At 35.9% G+C, this 26,277-nt stretch overlaps 1 long non-coding RNA gene across 2 annotated transcripts; it reads left to right on the forward strand.

The window, feature by feature from the left end:
- The first annotated feature begins 3,951 nt into the window (after window positions 1-3,951).
- Window positions 3,952-25,890, forward strand: LOC107986903 (uncharacterized). Of its 2 annotated transcripts, none has more exons than XR_001745737.3 (4): window positions 3,952-4,068; window positions 19,794-19,952; window positions 20,070-20,254; window positions 22,553-25,890. It is a non-coding gene; the product is annotated as an uncharacterized LOC107986903 (long non-coding RNA). The 2 variants fall into 2 exon arrangements; XR_007061063.1 differs by lacking the exon at window positions 3,952-4,068 and adding an exon at window positions 11,350-11,584.
- The last annotated feature ends 387 nt before the right edge of the window (window positions 25,891-26,277 follow it).

A 26,277-nucleotide genomic window follows, 5' to 3' on the forward strand; every position in this document is an offset into this window, starting at 1 on the left:
TTTTGAAATGGAAAGGGGCACTATAAATAATTGTACCAGGAAAATAGGAGGAAACCAGTGTTTCTCAAATAAATTGAGATATATGGTTGACAGGTCACTTAAGTTGTGTCATTTTAACTTCCAAAACACTTTCTGCCTGTTCAAAATAAATCCAAAAGGTACCCTGCCTCCCAGCCCCTTTGACAGTCTCTGCTGCTCCACCATCAAGTGACTTTTCCCCCTGGATTGCTACAATAGCCTCACAGGAGCCTCTTAGCTTCCACCCTGGCCCTCCCCACTTCTCCAACTCTCCAGTCAATTTTCTGTATAGCAACAAAAGATATACTTTTACAGCAGTGGTTCTCAACTGGAAGAGGTTTTGTCCCCTGTCTTGTGACACATGGCAATGCCTGGAGATAATATTGATTGTCACACCTAGGAGGCTGCTACCAGCATCTAGCAGGGAGAGGCCAGGGATGCGGCAAAACATCCTACACTGCCATGTGACAGCGCCCATAACAAAAAAGTACCTAATCCCACCTGTGGAGAGTGCTACTGTTGAACAAGTGTCTGAAAGTATAAATCATATACCACATTATGCTTCGGGTTGAATCTCTCTAATATATGTAAAATAAAACCCAGTCACTTCACCATATATGAGCCCGTCCTGTCCTCTAAATTCACTCTTGTTCACTCTCGGTCTCCCTGACTCTTAACTCCCTCCAGTCTCATTCCTCACTGTAAGCAAGAAGGTCTTTTCTCAAGTCTGTCTGGATCTTGACCAGGGCCTCTGCCTGGAGTGCTCTTTTTGCCTGGCTGGCTTCATCCCATCCTTCAGGTTTCCGCTCCATGGCCATGGCCTCAGGAAGATCTCCCTGACTATCATGAGCTGGAGGAACATTGATTGTCTCCCTGCATTCCTCCAGCACTTTGTTATGTCCCACCTCATTTCCTTTAGTTTATTCTCTTCAGAGCACTTTTCCAACTGAAATTATTTCATTTATGTATTTGTTTCCCCATTTTTTTTTTTAAATCCATTTCTCCTGAAAGAACAGGGCCTTCCTTGTCTGATTTCTTTTTTCTTTTTTTCTTTTTTTTTTTCTTTCTATTGTTGCTGAATCCCCAATGCCTGGAACAGAACAGTGCTTGGAAAAGAGCAGCCAAGCAAAAAATCTTTGTCACTGGAAAGTTTCTATGGTACATCACCCTGATACAGTTAAAAAAAAAAAAAGACACTGGTAATCAGAGATAAGTTCAAATAGGAATTTAGATTCCCAATTGCAGTTTTAATGCTTAATGATAGCAATAATAAAATTAATGACAGCAACTATCATTTACCAAGGGTGTACCATGAGCTGGGATAAACTCTTTTCATTTATTTCCTCAGTGAGTCCTTTCAACAGCCCAGCTCGTCATCTCTATCCAGCCACCCTCAGTGTGGCCTTTCCTTGCCTTGCCATGCCAGCTATAGTCTCCGGGCCTGTGTACATGCTGCACTCTCCCCCAGACCACTGTCTCCCTCTTCACCTTCCCATTGCTATGCAAAGCTCATATGTGACCACCTATGAGAAATTGGATTTGGAGTCTACCTTAGTCCCTCTGGGCTGCTGTAACAAACATACCTTATACAGGGTAGCTTATAAACAACAGAAATTTATTTCTCATCGTTCTGGAGGCTGGAAGTCCAAAGTGGAGGCACTGGTAGATTTGGTGTCTGGTGAGAGCTCATTTCTCACAGATAGGATCTCTTGCTGTGTCCTCATGTGGGGAAAGGGACAAACAAGCTCACTTAGGCCCCCTTTATAAGGACTCTAATCCCATTCATGAGGGCTCTTTCCCCATGACCTAATCATTTCCCTCAAAAGCCCATCTTGAATATCATCAACTTGAGTTTAGGATTTCAACATATGAATTTCAAGGGGATATGAAGTTTTAGACCATAGCAATATCCATGTTCCAAAGCACATTTTGCTTACCTTTATCTCCTTCATAGACTAAAAGCTTTTTGAGGGCAGTATAGCCTTATTACCTGGCTCATATATGTAGAATTTATGATTATGGTAAGGATTGCTTCCTTGGTTTACAAATTGAACCACGCAAAGCTTAAATTTCCCAGTGTCAAATAGTGAGTGCACAACTGGGGTTTAATTTTAAGCCAGTGTTGGAATTCTGAATCTGTATTTTAACAACGTTTCTGTAACAACATTCTGTATGTGTGTCATATGTCAAAGTCACATATATGTGACTTTGGACAAATTACTTAACAATTTAGAATCCCCTTTTGCTAATCTATGAAATTCATAATGTGAGTGGGATAGAAAACTGGTTATAGATGAAATGAAATCTGTAGCTCATTTCTGCTCTAACCCTCATGGGTTTAAATGCCCCTATGGAATGATGTTTTACAGATAGAAAGTATTTGACAAACATATTGATTGTTGAATTGTACAGGAGATACTTAACAAAGAGACTGTGAGCATATGAAACACTTTTCTACTTCAGCACTGCCCTTAGCCAATTTTTAAAACAACCCTTTCTTTCACTTTTTTGGAATTTTCACTCTTATTCTAATAGCAAAAACAGGTAGGTCTGCTTTTTTTTTTCCTACAAGAAAATTGCAGTTCCTTGATAGCTTAAGATCCTCAGCTTTCAATCTCCTTGTTTATACACTCAGGAAACTGGTTTACTGCCTCACAAAACAGCACACCCATGTGATTAGCACTTAATTATGGCCAAGCCAGTAGCTGGGCTATAGGCTCAGGTTGAGTTAATTCACTCAAAATAAGTCTGGGTTTCATTTGTTTCATTTCAATTGCAAAGAGACAAAATTTTGCATGCCATCTACTACGAATTTCACTTATTCTGAAAGAATATAAAACTTTCAACCATTTCTTTTTCAATGACAATGTAAAATACTACTTGGAATCTAATATCCAATCCCTTCAAGTTTAAAAGAAAAAAAAATTGGCTTTGGAAAGTTGGCTAGATAGACTTAGACGTATATTTAAATTAAATTAAAGCATTGCCCTATTTTGCCAATTGGAAAATCACTGTTAAAAATTTCTGAAAATGGCTAGCTGACTATGACATAAATTGTAACAGATTTTTGGGGTTCAACTAATTTAGCTGGTTTCACCAGCTATTTCCAAGATGAAATGAGCATTGAAGATGAAATATGAAAGGAATTCCCTTCATCATAGGCAGTAGCCAGCCTTCAGGGTGGTCCCTGGCATGCACCCTGTTGTGTAGTCCTCTTCCACATGCTTCCAAAGTTGGTCTATGTGACCGATAGAGACAGCATCGGCCAGGCACGGTGACTCATGCCTGTAATCCCAGCACTTTGGGGAGGCTGAGGCAGGTGGGTCATTTGAGGTCAGGAGTTTGAGATCAGCCCTGGCCAACAAAGTGAAACCCTGTCTCTACTAAAAATACAAAAAAAAAAAAAAAAAAAAAAGCCAGGTATGGTGGCAGGTGCCTGTAATCCCAGCTACTCGGGAGGCTGAGGCAGGAGAATTGCTTGAACCTGGGGGAGGCAGAGGATGCAGTGAGCCGAGATTGCGCCATTGCACTCCAGCTTTGGTAACAAGAGCAAAACTCTGCCTAAATAAATAAATAAGACAGCAGCAATGATGGCATGTCCCTTCTAAGACTAGGTCATAAAAGGCACCAAAGCTTCCTGCTTGCTTTCTCTTTCACTCTCTTTCTTCCATCACTTGCTCTAGGGATAGTCAGCTGCCGTGTCTTGAAGAGAGGCCTCCAACTGACAGCTATGAGGAACTGAGACCTATTGCCAACATGCACATGAGTGAGGCTGGACACAAGTCCTAGAGGACTGTAGCTCAGGACAACACCCTGACTCTAACTCACAAGTCCCACCCAACTAAGCTGCTTCTGAATTCCTGGCCCACAGAAACTATGAGCTAATAACTGTTTGTTGTTTTTAGACATCACGTTTTTGATCATTCATTATGCAGCAGTAGATAACAAGTATAGCAGGGAATGAATTCATTTATCATTTATATATTCTTCATTGTTTATTAAAGCCCCCCCCGCAAAAATAGATGGAACTTCAGTGGACTACAAGATAACGTGAGTACACATCATTATTTTAAATATAGTTTTAAAATACAAAAATAGATTTTGAGATTTGTTTGCTTATAGGATTATTTGGAATCTTAATGGAGCATTTACTTACTAAAATTTAAGAAGAATGGGAAAAAAGAGGAGAAGACTTAGACAAAAGGAACTAAATCCACTGGTGAAATTAGTCCCAAAAGAAAAGGCATGCATTGTAATAAGGGCAATCAGGGCACTAGGTTTTGTTTTGTTTTGTTTTGTTTTGTTTTGTTTTTGAGGCAGAGTCTTGCTCTGTCCCCCAGGCTAGAGTGCAGTGGCACAATCTTGGCTCACTGCAAGCTCCACCTCCTGGGTTCACACCATTCTCCTGCCTCAGCCTCCCAAGTAGCTGGGACTACAGGTGCCTGCCACCACGCCCGGCTAATTTTTTGCATTTTTATTAGAGCTGGGGTTTCACTGTGTTAGCCAGGATGGTCTCCATCTCCTGACCTTGTGATCCTCCCGCCTTGGCCTCCCAAAGTGCTGGGATTACAGGCGTGAGCCACCACGAATCGGGGCACTAGTTTTAAGGATTTTTATGTTTTGATTTTTGTGTTTTGGGTTGGCGAAGGCTTTTTTTCAATGAACACTTTTATGGGATCCTGAGCTGCAAAGTTAGCCTATATATCCCTTTAGGAGCCTCGGAATAAAGCAGAAGAGAAACTGGACAAGAATGAGGAAAAGGGAACTGAATGGGCCTCCCACTTGAAATTCTATTAGATAATGTTGATTATAAAAGGTGACAAAAAATAGACTTACCTGATTCTGAATCTCAGGGAGAGGCTTTCAATAATTTATTTTTCAGTATGACATTTGGTGTTATGTTTTTGTTAGATACTCTTTATCACATTAAGGAAATTTCTTTTATTCTTTCTTTGCTAAGAATTTTTTTTTCATAAATAGGCTGTGGAATTCAAGCATTGTTCTTTGACACAGGCAAATAGGAATCCAGTTCATGCTAGAGCTTTCAGGACTTCACTCTGGCGTTCTACAGTTGTGTCCTATTCTGTGGGCGAATACACTGGCCATATTCCAACTTCACGTGTTACCTCTCTATATTCCCCCCCCGCTTTTGTATTTTGGCATCCAAATATGAGCATTATAAATGTATAAAATGATGATGCAAGCATTGTAAACTGTAGATTGGTTCAAACAGTATCATTTTAAAGAATGGTCAGTATCAAGGTATGAGAAAACAACATTAATATAAACCCTAAAGAATAAGAATAAAATGAATACAAAATAAAAATGTAGTATCTTAATTTTCCATTGTGTAGAACAACAGATAAATTTTGTTTATTCACAGTGTTTCTTAAAAACCCGAATATTACCAACATTTAAAAGTCAGAAAAGAAATTGTCTAGACAGTTCATACAAAATGTGCATTTCAGGGTTCTCTTAAAATATTTGGCAACACAGGGCAAACAGTCCCAGATGAAAACAGTTGGCTAGAGCCAGAAGCTAGTTTTCTACAAAAAATTCTTCCAAATCTTACTGCATATATATATGTATATATAAATATATTGCATATATATATATAAACTTACTGCATTATATATATATACCTCTAACAAGTATATATATACCTTTAACAAGTATATATATGTATATCTCTAACAAGTGCATATATATATATATACACTTGTTAGAAGTTTTTTTCCAAAATTTGACATGTATGTTGAAAGGTACATGACACTGGCAATATCAGGTAGAGCTGTAATAAAATCTTCTAAACTATAATAATAGAAAAATATTTATTGGTCATGCTAGAGGAAAATCTCAAATATGCTTGCATTCATTACAAAAAATATAAAATCATTGTCAAATAAAGACTCAATCAAAGCATATGCAGCCAAATAAAGTAGTAAAAATTAACATGGATGTACACCAAGCAGTTCATTAACAAAAACATTTTGTGATTTTTCTGGATTTTATGATTGAGATATTTGTCAGATTTTTATAATTTATTGTGTTTCCTTTGCTCATTCTAAACTGTTTGTTCTTTAACCATTGTTTCCATAATATTATATTCTTTTTCTTGGAGGCTCCCACAAACTTGGATCTATCCCTACCGGTTATCAACTGAGAAAGAGAAAATAAAAAAGGACAGTCACAGTCTAGGTAGTTGAAAAGAATACAACATATACAACAAGAAATTAATGAATGCCTTGGGAAAATTATTGAAGACATAGAACATGTTAGCAAAATTAATCCTCATTATTCTACAAAGGTCATTCTATAAAAGTCACATATGAAGTGAAAATTTCCATCAAGCAATTTTATTGGAAAAAAATGACAAAATAAGCACAAAACTCAAGATTTACTCTGAAAAGTAGAATCCATTTTTAACAGACTTAGTGGCCACTGTTCACGTATCTATTATCTTCAAAAATTATTTAGATGAAAATTTTAAGAAAGGTTTTGTGATGCGACCATCCTAAGTAGGTAAGTGAACAGTAGCAAAACAGAATGACTTCTAGAGAATTCAGAGACCACCTTTCCTAACTTCTCCCATAACAAATCAAAAATGAGTAGCAAAATTAAAAATATGAATGGAGGATATAAGAAAGAAAGAAAAATAGAAAGCAAAGAATTGTGTGGGGAAAGAACAAAGGAGAAAAATAAGGTTGATGAAAGAAAATAAACATCCCTATGCCTGATGATGTTACCACATTATCTCATTTGATTTTCCCTGGCTTTTCCATACTGAATAAACTGGCTCCTAGTTAAATATGTTGTCCAGTGTTATAGAAATAGTTAATCTAGCCAAGCTGGAATGCAACGTTGGGTATGTTCTCCTAAAAGCCTTCTATTTTTCTAGACCAACATAATATACTCTGCCATACTTCACTTTCATATGAAAAATGACCTCTGGGAAAATATTTCGACAGTTTTCCTTATGAAAGAATTTAGAGTAAATGAACATTACTTATGACCCAGAATATGGATAAGCAAATCCATAATCTTTGCAAAGCAACCACATGAACGTTGTTGAGAAAGATAAACATGCTTGTTGATTATGGAGCACTTTCTGAACACAATGGATGAAGAACAACTTTAACTCCTTGGTGTAGCCTTCTGTATTTAGACTTTATAAAACTATTCCTCATAGTATTCAGGATCCTTGTTATGTGGAGTAACCAATTTTTCATTCGTATAAGAAGTAAGGATTGTGAAAACATTTTCTCTTCTCTAGCATAATGATTAAGAGCACAAAACATAGGAGTGAGGCGGAGGTGGATCCATTCCTGCCTTCTGACTCACTGGCTATGTAACTTGGATAAGTTCTTAACCTTTGTAACTCGGATTCTTCTTATCTCTAAAATGTGGATAATAGGGTATTGTGATGAATAAATGAGAGCCAGGGTCAAGCACTAGCTCAACACCTGGAAAACAATAACAGCTGCTGACTACTATAACTGAACTTCAATTAATATAATGATAATGAGAAACAAAACTTACTCAGAGATTAACGATTTGTTTCAAAGTAAACACAGATCTGATTTACTTAAAAAATAATTTTGAAACTTTGAGACTATTGCCAAGGAAGTCATGATACCTGAAATAAAATTTCCAATTTCTCCAATTTCATCTATTTGGGATTCCAACTATCCTTATGAGTTCCAAGAACCCATTGTTTCCGAGTAGAAAAGACAGAGGCAAAGACCTCCTTGGAAAGCTGTAGCTACTAGAAAGGAGGTGGGAAAGAATACAGTCATTTGCAATCCAGCATTTCACTCAGAATTCAGACAAAGGCCTCTTTTCAAAAAAAGTAAAAAAATAGAAAGAAAGAAGGAAAGAAAAAGATGCAAACTTCAACCCAGCTGCCCCCAAAGACCAGCCATTCAAATTAGCTAGAGCAAGTACCTGTTCATTTTTGATCATGGCCCAGTTTGATATCACTCATCATTACATTCATAATATGGGCCTATTCTTCTAGGAAAATGATTCCGTTGTGGGTTTGGCAATGAGAGCTTCAGTTCAGTTCAGCTAAGCTTATTTCTTTTGTTCAAAGGAGGGAAGCTGTTTGCAAATAATCTGTGTATAATTAGTTACCTGGTTTTAAAACTGTTTTATTTTTATTTTCTTTTTTCCTTGTGAAGCCATCTGGGAAATCTGATTACTCCTAAGTCATTATAAGCTAATATGCAGTCTAGGTAGGCTGGGTTTTGAATCTCTGTTAATTCTAGTTAAATACTTAAAACTAATTAGACCATTTTAATAGGAGTCATTTATTACTGAGTGCTTCTTAAGAAAGAATCTTATAGTTCATGCTGATCTAGACTACCAATTACATATTTATAAATCTTAGCTTACATGTTCAAGTTCTGTATGCAGGTAAGAGAAAGATAATTCCCAAATGAAAGAAAATTACATCAATACATATAAAATTGTCACTATTGTCAACTGAGCATAGGGTTCCAGAAAAGAAGACCAAAAATTGTCACTAATAAAAAGAAAGTTATAAACTCTAAGTCTTAAGGCAAACTTTAAAACATTGAATACTGAAATGCTCTCTACATATCTCTATTATTTCTATATGTAAACACATGAATTCCTCCATTAATGATTGGTCAAGTATAATATAATTCAGACATCAAATGTAGCTGCGCCAAGTTTTCAAACCTATCTTTGATTTTAAGCCAAAGAATCTACCACCCTTCCAAATCTTAAATGGGTTAACCACATTTATAGGTTCACAATCTTAAATGGGTTAACCCATTTAACCATTATAAGTCAAGGTGGATTCCTTGGCTTATAACTTATAAGGGTTCACAATCCCAGAGCTCCTAAGAACTCATCTAGTGCCAGAGAGACAGCTAATTCCAAAATGGACTTCAAGTTTGCATTTATTTTCCATTGAGATAAATAAGAAATGGACATATACTTAAAATGGAATTCGTGTTATGGGTATGTATGCAGCCTTCTCTGTCTCCTGTAGGAGCCAATCCGTGCTTGTTTACATTTTTTGTCCTTATTCTCAGCACCACAGTATTTAGGTTCATTATATGAAAGGCAGATAAGAATCTTGAGTTCCTCCTAAGAGCTTTGGTACATTCTAGAGACCCAAATGGGAACTAAAATGAATTATGATTTCTTACTGATTCTATAAACACTCACATACATACATTAAAATAAATAGTTTAAAAAGGCTAAAAAAAAATAAGCAGCTTTCAGTTAGCACATCGAAAATAAGACTTTTACATCACCAGATTTGGGTTCATCCTCTTGAATTTGCACATAGTTCTGTGCAGAGATGTCTTAAAACCTTATTAATGCATCTAATTAAAGTCGTGACAGAGAACTTCCACAGCATCTAATGAAAGAAAACAAAGATTAAATTTAAGTTAATCAGCTTTGAAATGTAAACAAGCACATTCAATCATTAAATGATTCCATTTATTTTTAACAGGTTCTTAGAAGTGAGTACAATAAACATTCCACCATGCTTTCTTCCTTTGCCTCGAATGTTTATTAGCACCATTAATTCATTAGTAAAAATACAAAGAGACATTTCATGCCTAGTATAAACCCATTCCAATTTTTTGATAAATGGAGGCAAGTAGTTAGCCAAGATTTTTCGCACACACAAGAAATTCTAAAATATTCGTGGATATTTCAAAAGTAGAGCCTTCAAAAATATTAAAATAAAAAAAAATACTGGCACTAATAATAAAGGTCATCTCAGGTTTGCTGTCCCAAGATGTTAGTTCTTTGCTTTGAGCAGGCGGGTGGTGTTTTTCATGGGAGAAGACAGCAGAACTAGTATTCCTGGTAAACATGTCAGCAGAGGATTTGGGAATCTGTTTCTAGCAACTAAATAGTCCAGAAGAGAGGGAAACGTTTTTATATCTTGCAAAGTTTAGAGATGAAAGAACCAATCTCAAGGTTGATGAAGAAAGACATCACTCAGCAGGTGGTGAGCAGCTGTGATGTAATAACATTCGCCATACAGTTTTACCAGTAGCAAGAGTCAGAAGCCCAAAATCATTTTAATACCAGGGAATGTCTATTTGAGTCTATGTACTCTCCCTGAAATAATCAGTGGCTTGTTTTGTTGTTTTGTTTTCTGGTTAGAATAGGCTTGCATTTCTAGTTGAAGAGAAGTTAGCATTATCCTCTGTCAGGTAAATCTATAGTGAGTTACTCAGCATTTTGCTTGCTGTGATGGAAGAAGGATGGAAGCATTTCCTGCCCAGGCTTGGAGTTATTCATTTTTCTTAGCATGCTAGCTCTCACTTTACCCATTTCTTTCCTACTCAATAAACAGATGAACAAGCAAATGATCAGGAACTACTTCACTATGCAATAACCAAGAGACTTTTCTAGTTTATAAAAAAGTATGCTATTGTTAAATTCAAGAATGGTGCCTTTATTATTTGTTCATTTGTCCAACAATTATTTTTTATTGTGGTAAGAACATTTAACGTGAGATACATCCTTTTAACAACTTTTTGTGTACAGTATTGTTAACTATAAGCACAGTGTTATATAGCTGACTGTTGGAATGTATTCGTATTGCATAACTGAAACTTTATATCTATTGAATAGCAACTCCCTGTTTTCCCGAACTTTCACCTCCTGGCAGCTACATTCTACTCTCAGCTTCTATGAGTTTTATAATTTTAGGTACCTTGTATAAGTGGAATCATGCAGTCTTTGTGGTTCTGTGACTGGCTTATTTCACTGGGCATAATATTGTCCTCAAGGTTCATCCATGTTGTCATATATAGCAGAATTTTCTTCTTTTACGGTTGAATAATATTACATTGTAGTTATATACCACACATTTTTAATCCATGCATCCATCGATGGACATTTTTATTGTTTTCACATCTTGGCTACTATAAATATTGCCGCGATGAACATTGGAATTTTAATATCTTTTCAAATTCCTGATTTCAATTCTTTTGGATAAATACCCAGAAAAGACCCTATTATGTGGCATAATAGGAACAGTCCTAGGGAATGGGGAAACATTAGTTATCAGGGAACAAATTACATGGTAACTCCCTTAGAAGTGATCTCATTCCACCAGTTTATTATAATATTGACATTGTTCAAATATTCATTCTGTATACAATAACCAGAGTAACTTTTTTCAGAAAACACAAAGGCAATCATAGCACTCTCTTGCCTCACACACTTTAATGGCATCCTTTGCCCTCAAGATAAAATCTCATATCCTCACAATGGTCACATAGCCCTGAACAACCCAGCCTCTTCCACTTCCCAGCCCCCTTTCTGCACCACGCTCATCCCTGATTTCCTCCAACACAGTGCTTCTGCAGCTCTGCTGTCCTTTCAGTTCCCTGGATGCATCAGTCCTTCTCAAGTCTGTTCTTTGAGCAGAACATTCTCTTCCTTATTTTTAGTAAACCTGTCCAAATATTTTGTCCTTCATATCTCAGCTTAAATATAACTACCGCAGGGAAATCTTTCTCGAGCCTCAGACTAGGCTGAATGTCTTTCTTACTCATTTTTTACAGTAAGTACGTTTTGTTTTGTTTCGTTTTTGTAGTAGCACTCATCTTAATCTTAACCAAAAATTTTTAAGTTTAATTATTTGTTTAAATCCCATCTTTCCTAAAGGACCATAATGGTGTTGGTCGGGGGGTTGGGGGGGGGGGTGGGGGGCGTGGCGGGCGGATAAGCACAGAAACTACATCTCCTTTACACCTTCCTATCTTTTCGGTGGACAGCATGGTACCTGGCTCATGGTAGGGCTTCAATAAATATTTGTTGAATTATTGCATGAAAGAACTGTGCAGTATTCCGTAGGTCAATGGTTTGCAAGCTCTTCCTGGTCATAGGACCCCTTGTGTTGACTGATTGTTGTGGAAACAGGTTTTAACTCCACAACATTTACAGCTTGCAAGGGCACTGTGAAAAACACAGTTTTACAATACTGCCATTTAAAATCATTTCATATAATGAATGGTATTCAGTAATAAAGAGAAACCAATAAGGACACATGCTACATCATGAATGAACCTCAAAAACATTACTCAGTAAAAAAGCCAGACACAAGAGACCACATATTGTATGATTCCGTTTATAGGACATGTCCAGGAAAAGAAAGTTTATGGCTACAGAAAGTAGGTTAATGGCTGCCTGCAGGTGGGAATAGGGATTAATTGTAAACAGGCATGAGAGATTTTCTTGAGGGAGATGAAAATATCTAAGACTGATTTGTGGTGATGTCTGTACCACTCAGTAAAGTCACAAAAATTACACACTTGAAATGGGTGATTTTTATGATATCTAAAATGCACCTCAATAGAGCTATTTTAAAAATCATTGTTCTAAACTGTAGCTGACCTTCACCTTAACCTTACCTTTTTGACATTATTGCAATTTTTGTTCTTTGTTTCATTTCTTTCAGTTTGACTTTTTAACACACAGTTAGCTTGTATTTTTGCCTGATAATTTCATGGGGGTTTATGTTGTTTAGGGATGGCCAACCTGAACAATCATATTTCTCTAAAAGCACTGTAAATATATTGAATAGGTAATTAAATACTGATTGGCTGGTGATTACCAGTCATAACATATCAACCTTCTCTGAGATAAGCCCTCTAAAACCTCCAATGGTAGAGAAATGTTGTGGAAAAGAAGAGGCTTGGAATAGGAAAATGCTGCCTTTGTGGATAAACTGGAAGAAACTTTGAAGAGACAAATGGAAAACATCACACTTTGAGGCAATTACAGACTCTTGGCTGAAATTCAGCTTCAGGCTTATCTTGTGGGGAGGAATTTTTAAACACTTCAAAGTCCTACCCAGTGTTATAGCTGTCACCTTAATCTACCCCAAAAACATTCATTTCAGAAAGTGAAAGTTTCAGAGTCTACTGCTGAAGAATTCTGTAATTAGAGTAAAATATAACTGTGAATGCCTACAGGGATTTTTTTTTCTTTTGATATTGTAGGTAAACTCAAGTCAAAGAAAACTGAAAGAGTAGGATCTCTTAAAGCCATATAGCAGAGCCTTCCTGAACAAGGGTGAAGTAATCCTCAAAATCAAAATATAAGATTGTTTACCATATCAAGTTACATCTATCATCCACATCAATCTTGAACATCAAAACAAGTTCTAGAAAGAGGGAGGAATATTCACAGGATGGGCCATAATCCAAGGATTCAGGAATTTGAGACTCTGATGAGAAATAAAATAGATTTAAGATTCCTTTGATTTTTAGAATTATTTTCTGTAGGTGATGTCTAATATTATTTTTTGCTGATAGTTTCCGGATCTCAAAAATACTTCAAAGAGAAAAATAATATATGTTATTAAATGTTTTAATAATAAATATTATTGGTAATATAACGCTCATGTTAAATAACAAATTTTTCATATATGTAAATTGACAAAGCAATAAAATATATATTTGGGTTATTCTTTTGATTTCTTTTACTGTTATTCCTTCTTCTTAGTTTCCATTTGTACAAAATGGCAATAATTTTTCCTTTTTTCTCCTTTATTTTTCCTCTTTATGTTAGAACAAATGTCAATTTGCTGTCATATGACAAAAAAATATGGATAGCGATAGTTCTGTGTAGAGCCTCCTCTGAGTAAGGCACATGAAATATTCTGATTAGATTTCTGAATACAGAAGCTCAATGTTGCCTCCGAATCATTCACCTATTTTATTCTGGTATTTAAGGCAGGCGTAGAAATAGGTCATATAAAAACCTTGTCACATTTCTTCAAGAATTTGCAAGAGAAAAATTAGGCACTGGTCCTTGTTTCCCAGCTTGGTCAAGTTTCCCTACAAATCACTTCTCATTAGAATCCCTAGAATGACCACAACCTTTTCTAACTTGTAATGTGATTAGAAAGTAAAGTGTCCTCTTGCTTTCAAGTAACGGAAACTAGTTTTTCATGTGTTATACAGCATTTTTAGGTGTTTTATCATGGAGAGTTTTTACACTGGCAGAAAGGAGGGCACCTGGTTCTTCTTTTCTTTCTCTGGTTTTCATGTGCAGAAAGTGGTAGGGGAAATGGCTTTGTGTAAAATTATCTTTCTATTAAATAAGTACCCTGCAGTGTTTTATGGAAATCATTGTCAAATCTGAAAATTTTGCAAGGTATTGAACCTCTCTAGACATAATTTCTTATTTATAAAATAAGAGGGTAAATAATAGGGTCTTTAAGGCCTCTTCCAGTTTAAAAAACTACAGTGATCCCTACCTAATCAATGCTCACAGTCATGCAGAGTACAAGCCTTGTCTGTATCACACTTGTTAATGATTATTGTAGGCCATGAGTGAAGGAGCCTGCACTAATGCAAGCAGTGAATAATCAAAGCATACAGAACTTCAGCTAGTACAGATTCTACCAAAAAGTGTCATCATACTTACGGCATTATACATCTTTAAATAACTTTGGTTATTGTTAATTTTCTATTATGCTTTCTTGTGATTTGCTGTGTGTGTGTTTGTGTGTATAAGTGTGTGGTATTCTACAAGGATATGGGTACAGGAGTAATAATTAAATATTTAATAATAAGCTGGTCACAAGAGACATGTAGAAGACATGTCTAAGGTCCGTGTGTGTCTGTGTGTTTGTGCGTCTGTGTGTATATATATATAATGAATACTTATAGCTTCTGGCTGTCTGATGTCCATCCCTGTCCTCTTTTGGTATCAGCCCCTCCCCTAATTTTGACATAACTCCCTCGTTTTCGGGCCATGTGAATTTATGGGCTTGACCTCACCCTAGATTCCGGAGGTGGACAAAGGATTTAAGACATTGTGGCAGAGCAGTGTATCTCTCTGGCTACACTGACTTGTTAAGAAATAGACAATTATATAATGAGCCAGATTAATGTGACTTGATTTTGTGGTTTTACTGGAGCTATTAGTAGGGCAGATCATTCTCATTCTACTAGAATTTGTGAGATGGTAATCTGGAAAAGGTAATCTGTAGCTACTGGTGGGTGTCTAGCCTCCACGAGTAAAAATCTAAAAAGAAGGGGTTAACAAAGTGAAAATCAAAGCCAGGAGATTGAGATTGAGAGAGAGGAGAGAGAAAGAGAGAAAGAGAGTCTGAAGACAACTTTTGAGCTCCTGACTTAACCATTCCTGAAGACCTCAATTCTGTGAGCCAATATATTCCTCTTCATTATGCAGACAATTTATGTCAGACTTGCAGACTCATGATAAAACTGGAGGATGCGTACCAGAGGTCATCTCTGTCTAGTTCTTTATTTCCCTTTTTGTGTACCTTTCAGATTTAACTTAAGTATTACACTGTGTGAAAAGACTTTCTGGACTCTGTTTACCTTGAGTTAGGTGAACATCCTCCCCACCGTGTGGCAACGGTCATATCATATTGTTACTGTTTGTTAACATCTGTATTTCCTCCACTATGTTTTGTGCTCTGTGAGGTCAGAAACCTTCTTTCTCTGCCCTTGTATTCTCATAAGCAGTTGGCTTCCATTTAATAACTGACTAAATATAAGGCAATTAATTTGCAGCCTTCCACAATTTAAAGACAGAGATGATGTTCCTTCACAGTCTTCACATCTCTGAGGAAATATATTTTACAGTTACTTTTACTTTTTACTTTAACCTATTCTCCTTTACATTTATCCCCCCGTGGTCTGTCTTTTCTATTCTCTCACTTGGAAGATTTTAACTTATTTATTCATTCATTCAACAATATTTTAAATGTCTCCTGTGACCTAAGGACTACCCTAAGCATCAAGAATACAATGTGGAACAAAGCAAGTCTTCTGTTCTCAAAACTTACTGTTCAGTCTGTGGAAACAGTAAAAACCATGACAAGAGAGTGTTATTTGTGCTACAATTGCATGAGAAGAGGATGCCAGGGCAGACTTAGGAGGAGTACCTAGCCTGGTTTTAAGAGGTCACTGGAGACCTGCTGAAGGAAATGGCTTTAAGCTAAATGCTGAGGTGTCAGTAGATATTAATCTGCTCATGGAGGACCAGGGAGTGTCTCAGGCAGATTGACCAGTTTTCTCAATTATGTAGTGACGACAACTGAGACGCAGTAATATAAAACACTTACCTGATCACCAGGAAGTTTCTCCTCCAGCAATAGAAAGGCAGATTTTAAACAGATGTTTTGTTATCGTTTATGTGACCTATTTCTCCTCTTTCCATTCCCTTGCCTAGTAAAATTTGTCCAACTGTAATTAAGAGTATTTACTTCTCCTTTATTGTACTGCTTTGCCTCCCACAAAATTCACCAAGAAGAGTTTCACTTGGGCGTTGAAAAGGGTCTTGTACATCACACGGCTTCCTGAAAATGATAACAATAGCTACTTTTTATTGAGAGTCACTATATGTGATTTCCCTGTGATTTAGATGTTATATCCCCATTTTATGAAAGATTAAATTGAGGCTCAGGGACAGACCCAAATATCAGCCAGCTAGTAAGAGGAAATCTGTGGTCTTATCCCAGATTCTGAAAACAGCACCTTTCTAATTATTTCTTATCATATAGTTTCCTTCTAATATCTGGCTGTGAAATAATACAAGTTTTTATGCAGGGGACAATTTCAGAAGAGGGAAAAGGAAATGTGTGGTGATTTTAAAACATGGGGTGTGGAATGACAGCTGTGGGCTATTGCTGTACTTGAGATTTGCTCTATCAGAGATGAGCAGTAAGCGAAATGATTACTCTGAGGGTAAAGAGTACATATTGCCAGGAAGGAAGGAAAGGTGATTGGAGATTGAGTTCTTGTCAAATTGAATTGATTTCATCTTCTTAGATACTTCATTCAAGAGTGAGATCTTTTGGTTTAAATTGCAAGTACATGACATATCCAATATTCCTCACTAAATCCAGGAATTTCTATGCCATAGGAGGCTACTAGGATGTACTCATTTCACAGGATGTGTAACACGTCTCTAGCCTACATCCAGGTTATTCTCATCATAGTCTTTGTGGAAATAAAACAACATGCTGAAGAAAAGGACAGTTTAGAAAACTATCTCCTTAACTATAAACTTTCATATCATTAATGTGCTGATATTTTGACAGAACTGATGCCATGTGCTATTAGCATACAGTAGTTTTTGTTCTTTCTTTCTTTTTTTTGGTTTTCACAATGGTATAGGGTCACAAGAGCAAGATAACCCAATGACATAGTAAAGTTATAGAAAACAAAAAAGTTAAAGCTTCAAAGATTAAAAGGAAGCGTTAAGAAGGCCCCATGAACAGCAGCTTTCTCTGCACATTAAGCAATAATACTGGAAAAAATGTAAACAATTTTTTGACATGTGAACAGCACAAAATTCTTATCTGTTTTGTTGGGTGGAACACAGACTATGGTGTTAAGTGGTGTTAACTTCAGTGAAATAGAAACAAGGACCACAGATGGCAAGAAATGTCACTGTTGCAAAGATTCTGGTGGCAAAATGTTCTTTGATTTTAGAGAAAACTTATTTTGAATGTTCACTTTTGATCCAGAACCAAGCTATATCTAATTTCAAATATAAATGCTTCAGATATTGATTGGGATAGTGCTAGCTACTCTTCCAAGGAAAACAATATTACCAAAGTTAGTTTGTTGCTTACATACAGTCCAAATTACTTTTCTAATCAGTAGGTGGCTCTCCTCCAAACCCTTTCCAACTTGGCTCATCCATCTTCCACAGGAGGCTTGTAAGATTGTCATATTCATCTGCATCAGGCCAGAGGCAGAGGACAGAGTGAGGAAGGCTCACCCATTGAAACTGAGACACGTGCCCCACTCTATTCTCATCCACATAACCTCACTAATGGAGGTTAGAAATGTAGACCCTGCTAGGCAACTACTTCCCAGAAAACTCTACACCATATGGATGCTTGGGAGGTGGGTCAAACAATATGGTGTATAGTTAGCTAGAATAAGAAGCAGCTGAGAACCAACTTCCTGGTATCCCCTCCTGGTTCTTTTCCATAAACTCACTCACTGTTCATTTTCTTCCCACATCAACAACAATGAAGTCTCCATTAATTCTCCTAGTACAGGTTTTCAGAACCAAAATTTATATAAGACTTAGGAGCTAGCTAGCTAGGTAGCTAGATATATAAACGTATACATATAAACCACCTAATTTAGATATGTACGATTTTTTTCATCTCTTTGCTGTTTCCTTAATTATTGTGAAATGTAATAGTAAGACAAACTTACCTTCACATATTTCTAGTAACAATTTTATCTTTTCAGGTGTCCTAGACACCTGAAAAGCCAACTTTCTCTTTAGTATTCACTCTTCTAGCTCTTATTTTTGAAAGACAAGGACATAACTCTGTAGTACTTAACTTTCCACCAGGCCCTCCCTTTACTAGTTTCATGTACTGTTAAACTGACTAAAAAAATTTGTTTTCTAAAAGAAACTCGATTTCAGGACCAAATGCAATACTTGCAAATATTGGCCATGGGGTTCTTGTTCCAATGGTGCTTATACCTAATCAGGAGGCAGATCAGAGCTATGACTTCTCTTTCAGACATGACAAAAGACAGTGATCGGGCTCGAATGCCGTCTCAGAGACCAATATGAAAATCATTTTACTATAACCCTCATTGTCCAGGCTATTTTTAAAATAATAAAAATGTTATGTATAATATATAATAAAAAATATATAAATATATAATTTAAAAATCCAATTTTATAACATGCCTTCCCTAGTAAACTGTCTGCCAACTCCAGACCTGATTTTCAGTGTCTTCCCTTAAGCTAGACATTTCTGGATTTATAAAATGCTCTTTTCACCTTAGCATGTCTCTGCTGAAAGTTATATCACATCATTTTAAATAAAATCTGCTTTAAACACTTTTAATAAATGTTCTGCCTTTCTCTTGGGAGACAAAGAGAGACACTAAAGAGGGGTTTCCTCCATTTATCTATCCATACAATGAACAGAATTATGGTAAATTGGCCCATCTCCTTCACTCAGCTTTCCTATGACATATAAGGTGACTTTGTCAACTCCTCTACTTTTTTTTAATACATTGATCAAATAGTCATGACCCAAAAATTTTGTAATGAAAAGATGTTAAGGACACAAAGGGACAGGAGGAGTTTTTGAGGAACCTCCAAACAATTCCCCATAGTGGTTGTACTAATTTGCATTCCCACTAACAGTGTAAAAGGGTTTCCTTTTCTCCAGTAAAGCTTCATGATTTGGGACTAATGAAGGGAAATGTTAACCTACAGATTAGAGAATTATTTGTTAACCTAAAAATTAGAGAATATTTAAATAAAATTTAATTTTATTAAGGTCAGTTCATCATAAATAATGAATAAAGACATCTTTCCCATTTGCTTGAAAGAAGAAGTAATGGCATTCACTTGTATACAAACAATTTTAATTCTTTACACTTGTTCTCTCTGAAGATTAAACATTATTTCTCTGATTCTTTTCTTCTTACTTAATCCGATTTACTGTCATTTGTGTAGAATTCCCCTGCTTTAAGGATAGTAGGCAATAAATCTTCATTCTACTCTGATTGAATTATTTCCATTTCAAATTTAGTTCTATCTGAATTATTAAGCTGCATTGAGAATAAAGTCATTTGAATTTTATACGTTAAGTGTCCATTTCCACGACTATAATTGTCAGCCTTTATAATGCACTTTTGAGTCATTTTTCCATATATAATTCCCTGTATCTCAATAATGAAAATGTTTGTGAAAATCATTGTAATAAGCATAGATATTTATTTTATTGTCTGTTATAGAAAGTGTGAACTGAAACTTCAGAGGAAAGATGACTGAGGGAAAGAATCTGGCATGACAAAGGATGCTACTCAAAACTGGCAAGAAAACAAGAACGTGCAAATAGCAAAATAAAACTAAGCTACCTGAAAATAATTGAAACCCAATCGCTCTTAAAACAGGTGGGAAAATGTCTTTTTGCACTGGGAAAAAGTGTCTTTTGCATCAGGAAATAACCACAAAGCTTAGAGGGCTACTTTTGAAATCTAAACCTGTTCCTATTCTCTCCTGCCTTCCAGGACCTGCTCTCTCTTCCTCTCTGAGTTCCTATGTGATGCCCATAACTTGACAGGACAATTCCACGGTTTGGCTAGAATCTGACGGAAACGTGTAGCAAAATGTTTAGTGGCTTCCACTTGCCACGGTTCAGCAGTTTTCATTTTTAAATGGATATTCATCTTGTTAAAATATTTACTTTATTGTGGTGAGTTGCAATATTTTCATATTCTGCCAATGAGATTCTGTGGTAAGATTAGCTCTGACTTTTTAATGAAAATGACTCTAGATGTTTGCTTTATGAGTACTATCTTATCAATCACTCAGTTATTCTTTCACATGGACAATAAATAAATATAAATACAATCAACAATAAGAAAACCTCAAAAAAATCATAACTCTTAAATACATAGCCCAATGTTTATATATATTAAAAAAGAGAATAGCTTTTAAATGTAAATGTTCTTAAAGCCTCTAACTTTTCAAAGGTCTCCTTTCTCCTTCTTAACTTTTAAAAAATTATTCCCAAAGAATAAATTTATAGAAGCCATTTTCTCTTGTCATCTACATAGTTCCTTTTTTTTTTTTTTTTTTTTTGATCTGTTTTTGGTTTTTTGAGATGGAGTTTTACTCTTGTTGTCCAGGCTGGAGTATAGTGGCATGACCTCGGCTCACTGCAACCTCCACTTCCTGGGTTCAAGCGATTCTCCTGCCTCAGCCTCCAGAGTACCTGGGATTACAGGTACCCGCCACCATGTCCAGCTAATTTTTTTTTGTATTTTAATAGAGATGGGGTTTCACCATATTGGCCAGGCTGGTATCGAACTCCTGACCTCAGGTGATCCATCTATCTCGGCCTCCCAAAGTGCTGGGATTACAGGCATGAGCCACTGCACCCGGCCCATATTTCCTTTCTAATCACCAAAACTTCCCATCAGCTTGGCTGTAATGGTCATCTTCAACACCAGTAATTTAGAATTCTACCTATAAGAAAATAATAAGCAAATAAATATAAATTGAAGACCAAAATACAGTAAGCAATCTATTATTCTGCCAAATTCTTGTATTATAAAAGCAACTACAATTATTGTCATCATTTGTTTTCATAAAACAAAGGAACTTTTATACCCAAAATAAACAATCTATCTTTTATGGAAAGCTTGCTACATTGTCTTTACTTTTCACATTCTATTATTCTTTCCTAGATTATTATAATCCATGTACTGATGTAAAAGGATCCCTCTTCTGCACTATATGATGGCAAAATATTTGCAGCTACTTTGTGAATTTCATATTGTTTTCTATTTAACATACTTTGAAATATATTTGAAATGTCCTTATGTGCTTAGGGACATTTCCTTCAGTGATGTTAGTCCCTTACCCTCCATTGTTGTCTAAACAGAAAAGCAGTTCCAATTGAATTAGTAAATTGCACAGACTGGAGCATCTTTAAATTCTTTCTACGTAAAAGCAGTAGAATGTCTTGCCTCTATTTTTCCAAGAAAAAAATAATCATAACTAGATAGTGCTATTCTCAGTTATTAGTTTGCTCATGTATAGGCAAACTTATTCATGAATAAGTGGTTAAGTAGAACTCACTAAGGTGTCAGTGCTTGGTTTGAATTAGCTTCTTCTTTTAGTTGGGAGGGCTGGACTGTCATTCAAGGTAGCTCAAAATGAAGAGTTTTTCTTAGAAGTACTTCAGAGGAAAAATTGAGAGTTAGGAATCTTACTATTATCCCCAAATAGAAGCCACAGAAGGAGGCTTCCTCAGAAACATAGGCTATAGATTTTAATTTCAGGAATCACGGCAGCACTAAAAGAAGACTTTTTAAACTCCATTAAATTAACGTAACAACTTTCTACCCTGTAGTTTCATTTTCCTCTAATACCAGTGGGCATAGTTTTTTGTTTTTTTTTTCCTCTGCTGTGTGTCTTTTCTTTATTTAACTTCTTCATTGTTTCTGCTTCCTTGTAATTCTGGTTTACAATATATGATGGTGAAAATTACCGTAATTTGAAGTGATATAGATCTAGATTTAAATTCAAAATTTACAAATAGTTAACTGCTCAGACATAGGCAATATACTTTATCTCATTAAATATTCAGTTTTATAATCTACAGGATAAATAAAAGTAGTAACCAATTTATTTTAATGAGATAATGTTACTAAAATATCTCCTATAAGAGATCAATACAATTGACTATTAATTTATTACTATTTTAAGGATTATCATGGTCCTGACTTGACTCACAACACTACCTGGAAGTTTGGGCTTCCATACTAACTTCTTTATTATTTCCATATTTTCCAATTGAAGTTTTCAAAAAAGTAATCTATTGACTATATAATCTTTCATAGCAGACTACTTCATAGGTACATGGCTGGGCTGTAGATTGGCCACTTTAGGGTCAGATACCCAGTCTTGTCCTAATGCTATGAGAGAGGTGGAACTGAGGATGTAATTGCTAATGCAAAATATGTCAAATTTTTTTTGTTGTCAGAAACTACAGGCAGATTTATCTCACATAGAAGAAGCTATAGGTATAACAGGCATATGGAGTTCATTCACCAAGGAAGAATCCAGAAGTTTCTCTTCAAGTAAGTATATCAATGCCCTTATCCTATGATTAGCCATTTGTGTAATATTGGGATTTGAAATATCCAGGTATCTTATATGTTTCTGGTATACAAATATGGCCTGCTAAAAACTGTGAAAAGGAAACCAAGCACAGAGAACCAAACATACGTGTAAAAGGATTTGAACCTGTAGACATGTTTAGCCCAGGTTCATTTTGAAAGATGGGCAGAAAACTTGGTTAGTTTATTCTTACTGTATCCAAACCCATGATAATGTCCCCCTCTGAAAGACAGAGATATAGAAAGAGTATAATTACTGATGGAAAACTAGTGCAGATAAAATAACCTAAGCTTTAATCCAAACCTCAAACCATAAGCCCAACCCAAGACTTTTTTTAGGTTTGTATAGGTTCAGATAACTTTGGACTTTTAGAAAACATCATTTTTGCAAAGTGACACTTCTTGCTTTGTACTGTTAAGAATAAGCAGGGTAAATATAGAGTATAAGGACAACTCCTGTTAAGATCCTGAGTTCCTGGCTGACCTTTTGCAATTGCTTGCCAGCTGATGAGCTAGAACAAAGAGAGAATGCAAGGGATATATGTGAGTAATCCAATTTAACAGTCATTATTGACTCCCTGGAAGAGCTCAACGTGCTATCAAAAGACATGAAATTTAATCATAAGAAAATAAAACTATGACTACATAATGTCTAACCAATGAGGTCATGTATAAGTTAAAATTTCCCACGTATATACATCATTTGTTATTTTACTTCATGCCAAATTTCACTAGAATTATAGAACAATAGGATTTTCTTTCTCATCTTTTTTTCTTGTATTTTCTTACTCTACCTCTCTCTCTTTTTTCTTCCATTTTTTTCCTTTTCTTTTCTTTCTTCCTTTTTCTTTTTTTCCTTACATAGTAAAGGCTGAATGGATAGCATTCTGCTAGGCAGTTTAAGGGAGCATTATAAGAACTCTTCTTTGATCCCAAGAAGTATATCACCAGCTATCTATTTTTTACCCTGAAAAAAGGGGACTGCAGATACCAATAACAGACTTATTCTATATTTTCTTATTTAACTTTAGAATAAAATATGTCTTAGCCCTTTCCTTTTCTTTTCTTTTTAGAAGTATCTAAAAATTGTATTACTTAAGGATACTTCCTAAAAAGACTGTAAGGAAAATCTATTGTTTACCTAGCCTCCTCCTTTTCTTAAACAATTGTTTCTTTCTGTATGCTCCATGTGGTTCTAATAAGAACTGCTACCCTGGCCACAGGTGATGGGTTCAGATGTAGGGCCGAGCAGAGATGGGTAGGGTTCCACCATGCTTTTCAGATGAGCCTAAAGGAAGGGAGGCATCCCCCTTGCAGTGGCTGTGTTTCTTGGAATACAGAGGGAGCCAGTCTCAGAATGGAGTCAACTATCCACACAGAAAGAAAGAGAGAAGTAGACAGAGTGTTGCTCTTATTTGTGGTCTTGCTTCTAAGAGTGCCTGTGGCAGAGAGTAGAACCCTAACCATACCACACTTGACTATTGAGATTTATGGGATATTCATGAGGAAGCCAACAATAATTCAAAATGTGATGAGCAAAGAGTTTGGGGCATTTAAAAATTAACCTTTTTTCAATACGGTTAGTTCAATAGGGCGGCTCTCCTTAAAATGTAGTAGTCCTGAGCAAAATAAAAATTCAGAGATAGTTCAAGAGAGTGCTAGGTGTAAAAGATAAGTTATGATGTGTTGACATAAAGAAGACTTTAGTTGTCACTAGAAATGTTCCTGTCACAGATTTGCAAAGAAAAGACAAATGATTTGAAACAATGGATTGATCTATTGATCTAGTATCAGACAGACTTTTGTTCAAATCCTGGTTCTGTCTTTTAATAACTGACCAACTTTGGCCAAGTTACTTGACCTCTATCTTTCCATTTTCTCATTTTAAAAATGAGACAAAAGTACTACCCAACTTGTAGAGTTATTTTGAGGATTAAAAATGACACAACCCTCAGGAGAGTGTGGGGCACGTAGTAAATGTTAAATAAATGGTAGCTTATTAGAGGTTTTTATTGATCAACTTCTCTGTGAGAGATATACAAGAACAAGCTTCTCCAACTCAGTTTTAATCTTTTTAGTGAAGCAATATACAGATATAGTTTAAGCCCTTGTATTTGCCCTCTGGCTAGAGGGAGGCGTAGCTATAAATTAAAGTAAATATGCTAGTGAGCATGCCACAGCTGAAATCAACTAAGGGGAGACTGCAATGGGGAGATGTAAAGAGGGTGATGTACCAAGGAGGAAGGAGGTGTTTGCAGTTGATTAATTACACCTTGATGTGACGTCTCCTCTGGTTGTATGAGTTAGGGGTAACTGTGCTAAAGTGGAGTCTTGTAAGTTAATGTTCTTGAATTTATGTAGATAGCAATTTATGTGGGAACACCAGCTTCTTCACATCAAGAGTCTGAGAGTTACCTCCTGCTTAATGCTGCTTATTCGTTCAATGAATATGCATTGCTTCCTTATTACAGGTAAGGCATTGTGTCAAGCACCATGATGAAAACAAGCATGATCCTCTGTCCTCATGGAGCTTCCATTTAAGTCTCTTTTCTGGGTCCTTCATTATGACTGATACTCATTTCCAGGGAGTTCTCTTCCATGATTCCTATAACTATTTTGTAATTATTTATTTCCCAAAGAATACTACATGTTTTTCATATATAGGTAGTTGGGTACTGGCTGTATTTGTATTGTCAAACATTAAATACAATGGAACAACTATCATTTCCATCGGAGCTGCTTGTATCTGGTCTCCATTATCCCTCAGCCGCCTTCCTAATAACCTGGAAAATGGCATGGCCCTTTTGTGATGCAGATTTTGATATCACCTCTTGCTGTCAACGCTTCCAAACACCACGTGACACTTGCCACTTATCTTCAGTGGTTTCTGCTACTGAGCTTACTAGTGACTACATCAAAGCTTATCACTTCCAAAATGCTTTTTTTTCGTATCTGCTCTCAACTCCACCAGAAGTTCCTAGCTATATATCATCACAATTTTTTTCTTTTATTCTTTTTTCAAAAAGAGATATATTCAGCATATTTCCAAAATAACATATTCAAAGGAGGCACTGCAGAGACAAATCAAGAGACTGGAGATTTTTATGGCAAATTTGAAATGCTAAAAATATTATTTTGAATTGGTAGCACAGTCTCCAAATTACTAACAATGTAATAGAATTTATACGCAAAAAAATTGCCGTGGGGAAGACGGAAACTATACTGTCATTTCTATTTTGAAAATAAGAAATTGACACATCCCAGTTACAATCATATAATAAATCAGTAGTGGTGTCAAGAAGAGAATCTAGTGAGGATTTCTAGTCAAATGTGCCATCTACTTCATCATAATGAAATTGAAATATATGAATATAATAATCTTGTCAATTCAATGAATCACTTACTTCATTATCTGGTTCTACCTCCCGTGACCTATGTAGGCTATTAAGTCACGACTAAATAATGAGTCACCCTCTGAACTTTAGAATAACTTATGTATAAATTAGACTTTGCTTTGCCTCAAACTTACCTTACTCATGGCCAGTAAGGACACACACAGAAACAGGTGGTTGTATATATGCACACACAT

Source organism: Homo sapiens, chromosome 8 (assembly GCF_000001405.40).
Source record: "Homo sapiens chromosome 8, GRCh38.p14 Primary Assembly".
Taxonomy (NCBI): Eukaryota; Metazoa; Chordata; class Mammalia; order Primates; family Hominidae; genus Homo; species Homo sapiens.